Source organism: Homo sapiens, chromosome 5 (genome assembly GCF_000001405.40).
Source record: "Homo sapiens chromosome 5, GRCh38.p14 Primary Assembly".
Lineage (NCBI taxonomy): Eukaryota > Metazoa > Chordata > Mammalia > Primates > Hominidae > Homo > Homo sapiens.
The window spans coordinates 42,976,674-42,984,218 of record NC_000005.10 but is presented as its reverse complement, the minus strand read 5'-3'; the positions used below and the strand labels follow the sequence as shown (position 1 = coordinate 42,984,218).

General features: G+C 47.2%; 2 annotated features.

Moving 5' to 3' along the window:
* Window positions 1,819–2,644: an enhancer, noted in NCBI's record as "OCT4-NANOG hESC enhancer chr5:42981677-42982502 (GRCh37/hg19 assembly coordinates)". NCBI's record gives its function as "activates a minimal SCP1, AML or CMV promoter by ChIP-STARR-seq in naive and primed H9 embryonic stem cells {active_cell/tissue: H9 hESC(naive and primed)}" and the evidence as "EXISTENCE:reporter gene assay evidence [ECO:0000049][PMID:30033119]".
* Window positions 2,645–3,470: an enhancer, noted in NCBI's record as "NANOG-H3K27ac hESC enhancer chr5:42980851-42981676 (GRCh37/hg19 assembly coordinates)". NCBI's record gives its function as "activates a minimal SCP1, AML or CMV promoter by ChIP-STARR-seq in primed H9 embryonic stem cells {active_cell/tissue: H9 hESC(primed)}" and the evidence as "EXISTENCE:reporter gene assay evidence [ECO:0000049][PMID:30033119]".

The following is a 7,545-nucleotide window of genomic DNA, read 5'->3' as shown; positions in this document are numbered from 1 at the left end:
GTGGCTCTTGCCTGTAATCCCAGCACTTTGGGAGGCCGAGGCAGGCGGATTACAAGGTCAGGAGATCGAGACCATCCTGGCTAACACGGTGAAACCCCGTCTCTACTAAAAATACAAAAAATTATCCGGTGCGGTGGTGGGCGCCTGTAGTCCCAGCTACTCCGGAGGCTGAGGCAGGAGAATGGCGTGAACCCGGGAGGCGGAGTTTGCAGCGAGCGGAGATCGCGCCATTGCACTCCAGCCTGGGCGACAGACCGAGACTCCATCTCAAAAAACATAAAAATAAAAAAAAGGGCAAATATGTTGAGCTAATATGATGCTTTTTACAGTATTTTTTTTCAAGACCCTTATATGTTATGTGATTATATGCATTTTTTTAAGTTATTCTCCTTCCTCTGTTATTCCTACTTCCACTGCAATTCCTCTCATCAGTAACTACCAGTTTTAACATTACATTATCCAAAAAAGAGGTGGATGGAGTCTCGGCTGCATATGCTAATGTTGCACCTTGGACGAGTGATGTAATGCCTTTTGCCATTTTGCATTTCCAAATATATTCTCAAATGTATTCCTAACAGTGGTGTTTGCTACACAATGAAATAATAGAAATAAAATATAATACATTATTTGAAAAGATATCCAGGAATTATTTTAACATTTTTCCTTTAAATTAATTTCTGAATGGAAATGACAGTCATGAAACCATTCCTATAAACTTTATAAAGTTAATCAGGGAAAATGGGAGAAGGAGAATAAAAAATATATCAAGACTGCAGTACATTCAGCATTAATGATTAGGTCACCTTGCTCTCTGGCCTTCTTGCTCATAGTTCTTTGGTGCTTATTGCCCCAAACTATGAGAATAATTATGCAGAATAATTATACCCTGTCAGAATTATGCAGACCCAATCACAAGATTATAGTTTCCCTTAACTGCTCTGTAGAGAACACCTTTAACATTGTAAAATGTCAAGGTTTTCATTTGATATATTCTCTTATGTCCTGAAGACTGATAAAACTATTGATGCCAGCTAGTCTGAAAGACCCCATGAGGAGCTGGCTCACCGAAGAATGCAGTTTCTATATTTTGATGATTTCATCCCCTTTACCCCAAACAATCAATGACCCCAATTTTTCAGTTTCTTGCTCTCCACAATCTCCTTAAAAACTCCAGAGCTGGGCGGGGCACGGTGGCTCACTCCTGTAATCCCAGGACTTTGGGAGGCTGAGGTGGGCAGATCACCAGGTCAGGAGTACGAGACCACTGAAACCCCATCTCTACTAAAAATACAAAAATTAGTCGGGTGTGGTGGTGCACACATGTAATCCTAGCTATTCAGGAGGCTGAAGCAGGAGAAGGCTAAGGCAGGAGAATCGCCTGAACCCGGGAGGCAGAGGTTGCAGTGGGCTGAGATCACACCACTGCACTCCAGCCTGGGTGATGGAGCAAGATTCTGTTAAAAACAAAACAAAACAAAACAAAAACAAACACCTCCAGACCAGAATTTCTCAGGGAGGTGGATTTGAGGGTCCCTCCTGTTTCCTCACCTGGCTGCCCTGCTATCATTACATTCTTTTTCTGCTGTAAGCCCTGCTGTTTCAGTGTTTTGGTATATATTTATGTTACTGCACAGCAGATATCCAAACCTGTTGGTCCTGTAACGATCAGGCACATCTTTTGTATTGGTTTGTCTTGTGTTTTTTTTTTTTTTTTTTTTTTTCCAGATGGCCTAATTGGATTATTTCAGCAAGCTAAGTAATTTGAAGAGAGAGGCTAAGCCAATGTAGTACTAGAGCTACACTGGCCTTCTTTGGCTTAACATTTGTCTGGAATTATAATTTCCTCAATCTAAGAAACTAGTCATTGTAAGATGTGTCATTATTTCTTTTTTTATTTTTTATTTTCTTAGTATTTATTGATCATTCTTGGCTGTTTCTCAGAGAGGGGGATTTGGCAGGGTCATAGGACAATAGTGGAGGGAAGGTCAGCAGATAAACATGTGAACAAAGCTCTCTGGTTTTCCTAGGCAGAGCGCCCCGCCGCCGCCTTCCGCAGTGTTTGTGTCCCTGGGTACTTGAGATTAGGGAGTGGTGATGACTCTTAACGAGCATGCTGCCTTCAAGCATCTGTTTAACAAAGCACATCTTGCACCGCCCTTAATCCATTTAACCCTTAGTGGACACAGCACATGTTTCAGAGAGCACGGGGTTGGGGGTAAGGTTATAGATTAACAGCATCCCAAGGCAGAAGAATTTTTCTTAGTACAGAACACAATGGAGTCTCCTATGTCTAGTTCTTTCTACACAGACACAGTAACAATCTGATCTCTTTCTTTTTTTTTTTTTTTTTTTGTGTTTAAACAGCTTTATTTTTTTTTTTTAATTGATCATTCTTGGGTGTTTCTCGCAGAGGAGGATTTGGCAGGGTCATAGGACAATAGTGGAGGGAAGGTCAGCAGATAAACAAGTGAACAAAGGTCTGTGGTTTTCCTAGGCAGAGGACCCTGCGGCCTTCCGCAGTGTTTGTGTCCCTGGGTACTTGAGATTAGGGAGTGGTGATGACTCTTAACGAGCATGCTGCCTTCAAGCATCTGTTTAACAAAGCACATCTTGCACCGCCCTTAATCCATTTAACCCTTAGTGGACACAGCACATGTTTCAGAGAGCACGGGGTTGGGGGTAAGGTTATAGATTAACAGCATCCCAAGGCAGAAGAATTTTTCTTAGTACAGAACACAATGGAGTCTCCTATGTCTAGTTCTTTCTACACAGACACAGTAACAATCTGATCTCTTTCTTTTTTTTTTTTTTTTTTTGTGTTTAAACAGCTTTATTTTTTTTTTTTAATTGATCATTCTTGGGTGTTTCTCGCAGAGGAGGATTTGGCAGGGTCATAGGACAATAGTGGAGGGAAGGTCAGCAGATAAACAAGTGAACAAAGGTCTGTGGTTTTCCTAGGCAGAGGACCCTGCGGCCTTCCGCAGTGTTTGTGTCCCTGGGTACTTGAGATTAGGGAGTGGTGATGACTCTTAACGAGCATGCTGCCTTCAAGCATCTGTTTAACAAAGCACATCTTGCACCGCCCTTAATCCATTTAACCCTGAGTGGACACAGCACATGTTTCAGAGAGCACAGGGTTGGGGGTAAGGTCACAGATCAACAGGATCCCAAGGCAGAAGAATTTTTCTTAGTACAGAACAAAATGAAAAGTCTCCCATGTCTACTTCTTTCTACACAGACACGGCAACCATCCGATTTCTCAATCTTTTCCCCACCTTTCCCCCCTTTCTATTCCACAAAACCGCCACTGTCATCATGGCCCGTTCTCAATGAGCTGTTGGGTACACATCCCAGACGGGGTGGTGGCCGGGCAGAGGGGCTCCTCACTTCCCAGTAGGGGCGGCTGGGCAGAGGCGCCCCTCACCTCCCAGACGGGGCGGCTGGCCGGGCGGGGGGCTGACCCTCCCCACCTCCCTCTCGGACGGGGCGGCTGGCCGGGCGGGGCGCTGACCCCCCCACCTCCCTCCCGGACGGGGTGGCTGCCGGGCGGAGACGCTCCTCACTTCCCAGACGGGGTGGCTGCCGGGCGGAGGGGCTCCTCACTTCTCAGACGGGGCGGTTGCCAGGCGGGGGGTCTCCTCACTTCTCAGACGGGGCGGCTAGGCAGTGACGCTCCTCACCTCCCAGACGGGGTCGCGGCCGGGCAGAGGTGCTCCTCACATCCCAGATGAGGTGGCGGGGCAGAGGCGCTCCCCACATCTCAGACGATGGGTGGCCGGGCAGAGACGCTCCTCACTTCCTAGATGGGATGGCGGCCGGGAAGAGGCGCTCCTCACTTCCTAGATGGGATGGCGGCCGGGCAGAGACACTCCTCACTTTCCAGACTGGGCAGCCAGGCAGAGGGGCTCCTCACGTCCCAGACGATGGGCGGCCAGGCAGAGACGCTCCTCAATTCCCAGACGGGGTGTCGGCCTGGCAGAGGCTGCACTCTCAGCACTTTGGGAGGCCAAGGCAGGCGGCTGGGAGGTGGAGGTTGTAGCGAGCCGAGATCACGCCACTGCACTCCAGCCTGGGCACCATTGAGCACTGAGTGAACCAGACTCCGTCTGCAATCCCGGCACCGCGGGAGGCCGAGGCTGGCGGATCACTGGCGGTTAGGAGCTGGAGACCAGCCCGGCCAACACAGCGAAACCCCGTCTCCACCAAAAAAATACGAAAACCAGTCAGGCGTGGCGGCGCGCGCCTGCAATCGCAGGCACTCCGCAGGCTGAGGCAGGAGAATCAGGCAGGGAGGTTGCAGTGAGCCGAGATGGCAGCAGTACAGTCCAGCTTCGGCTCGGCATCAGAGGGAGACCGTGGAAAGAGAGGGAGAGGGAGACCATGGAGAGAGGGAGGGGGAGGGGGAGGGGTGATCTCTCTTTCTTTTCCCCACATTTCCCCCTTTTCTATTCCACAAAACCGCCATCGTTATCATGGCCCGTTCTCAATGAGCTCTTGGGTACACCTCCCAGACGGGGTGGCGGCTGGGCAGAGGGGCTCCTCACTTCCCAGACGGGGCGGCTGGGCAGAGGCGCCCCCCACCCCCAAGACAGGGCCGTGGCTGGGCTGGGGCTGCCCCCACCTCCCGGACGGGGCGGCTGGCCGGGCTGGGGCTGCCCCCACCTCCCGGACGGGGCGGCTGCCGGGCGAGATGCTCCTCACTTCCCGGACAGGGCGGCTGCCGGGCGGAGGGACTCCTCACTTCCCAGACAGGGCGGCTGCTGGGCGGAGGGGCTCCTCACTTCTCTGACGGGGCGGCCGGTCAGAGACGCTCCTCACCTCCCAGACGGCGTGGCGTTGGGGCAGAGACACTCCTCAGTTCCCAGACGGGGTCGCGGCCGGGCAGAGGCGCTCTTCACATCTCAGACGGGTGGCGGGGCAGAGTCGCTCCCCACATCCCAGACGATGGGCAGCCGGGCAGAGACGCTCCTCACTTCCTAGACGGGATGACGGCCGGGAAGAGGCGCTCCTCACTTCCCAGACTGGGCAGCCGGGCACAGGGGTTCCTCACATCCCAAACGATGGGTGGCCAGGCAGAGACGCTCCTCACTTCCTAGACGGGGTGGCGGCCGGGCAGAGGCTGCAATCTCGGCACTTTGGGAGGCCAAGGCATGCAGCTGGGAGGGAGAGGTTGTAGCAAGCCGAGATCACGCCACTGCACTCCAGCCTGGGCACCATTGAGCACTGAGTGAGCGAGACTCCGTCTGCAATCCCGGCACCTCCGGAGGCCGAGGCTGGCAGATTACTCGCGGTCAGGAGCTGGAGACCAGCCCGGCCAACACGGCGAAACCCCGTCTGCACCAAAAAATACAAAAACCAGTCAGGCGTGGTGGTGCGCGCCTGCAATCCCAGGCACTGGGCAGGCTGAGGCAGGAGAATCAGGCAGGGAGGTTGCAGTGAGCCAAGATGGCGACAGTACAGTCCAGCCTCGGCTGGGCATCAGAGGGAGACGGTGCAAAGAGGGAGAAGGGGAGGGGGAGGGGGAGGGGGAGGGGGAGGGAGAGGGATGTGTCGTTATTTCAATACTACTAAGAAAAATCTGCTAATTAAACTATGTCACAGTCCTGAAAGATCAGCAGATTTAAAATGTATACCTGTTTCAGAGATATGAAAATGGCAAACGACTTATCTTATGACTTACCTTAAAATTGATTAAATTCAGGTATTCAGTTCTTTATTTTTAATTCTTGGTGTCATTTTACTTTGTTTACTTCTTGTCAATAACAAGGAGCTTAGAGTTGTAATTTTTAAAATATATTAATATGATTGCATTTCTCTTTTTACAGAGTAGTTCAAAACATTGAAAAAAATTGTTTATGTGGGGAAATGATTTCCCCCCTCCAATTTCCATAAAGTAACTTCTTATAAGCAATTTTATATTCTTGCCCTATTTTTTAGTTCTCCCCCAAGATTGAGTAGTTCATATTGAATGGTAATTTGTGACAGGCCCTCTGCCAAGTGTAGTTTCTACTTTACCTTATTTACTTCTCAACTGGAAATCATGGCACAGAGAATTATCTAACGCAAATATTGTCTGATGTAGAGCTTGGGAGCAGACCTGGACTTAAAAAGTTTGGTCGCTCCAATTCTGTTCCCTTTCTTTTAGTCTGCTTTGCTTGGAAAATACACTTTGTTGTAGTTTTGTAGTGTGCATGCTTTTCCATTTTCTCTATTTTGTAGAGGCACAGCCTCACTCAGGGAGATTTTAGGTGGTGCAGTTTTGTCTGTGGATGGATGGGTAAATGTGATTTTGCCATTCAGTGTTAAGAAATTCATTTTTGGTGTAAATTTAAGGTCTATCTTTCAATTTAATTTTTTGTGGATATAATTTTTTGTATCCCTTCTCCCAACTCTCTAAATCAACATAACCAGGGCGAATTCTGAGTTCGTTATTCAATTGCTTATTTTTAATTTAGATTTATTTATCATTATGTATCTACATATTTTAATGGACATTTTAAAAATATTAACTTTATAAAATATAACCATGCTTTATGTAGTCTTATCAACCATTTTTTTTTTTTTTTACTGAACATTATATTGTTATGGTGCAACCAGACTTTTGAGTAATTTGATTTACTTATTTGGACTTTGTAAAATACTCCATTTTGAAAATATACCATAATAATTTTCATCCACTCTCCTAATAATGGAGTTTTGGATCCTCCCTTTCCATCAGGTTTTTGTTACTGTTAAAAGCGAAGATACCAACATTCTTTTACATATTTCCTGGTATGCATTTATGTGCAAGAACTTTTCTTGGGAGTGTGCTCTGAAATGGAATTGGTAGGTTTTGAGATATGTGACTTCCAGCTTCATAAGACAACAGATTCTTTTTCAAAGTGATGGTACCACACATGTTCCCACTTACAATACATAAGATACTCTAAAGTTTCATATACTCTCTAACACTTGGTATTGTCAGGTATTTTAACATTTAATCACTGAAAGGGTGAAAATAGCAGCGGCCCACAATTGTTGAGTCAGGCAACTTCACCCCATATGGATGTTGATCGCCAGAGGATCCCCTCCACAGATGCCCATTCCTGATTCACCATTTTGATTTATCAGATTCTGTTCATGATTACAATTGTTATGAGATAATACTGGCACTGTAACATCTTCCCAAACTGAGAAGAAGCTAAGGCCCATTTTCGTGCTCTTACCTTTTATAATACTGCTAATTCAAGGCTATTGGAGAGCTTGTTTTTTGTATGCCGTTCAGCCAGTTCTAGCTAAGAAGTAAACATTGGAAACGTATTTGAAACAAACAAACAAACAAAAAGGTTTAAGAAAGTTTTAAAAATAAAACTGCTTTGGAAACTGCTTTACCCAAAGTTTTTGTCCACAGCATTAATTGGATTACCTATCAGGGCAGATAAAGTTTAGCCATGAGGATAGGTCCCAATTTTGTCAGAAATAATTCGGATCCAGCTGTCTTCTGTAAAATAATGAGTTTCTGATGCCATGTCATGGCTAGAGTTTCACAGTAACATCCATTTGATC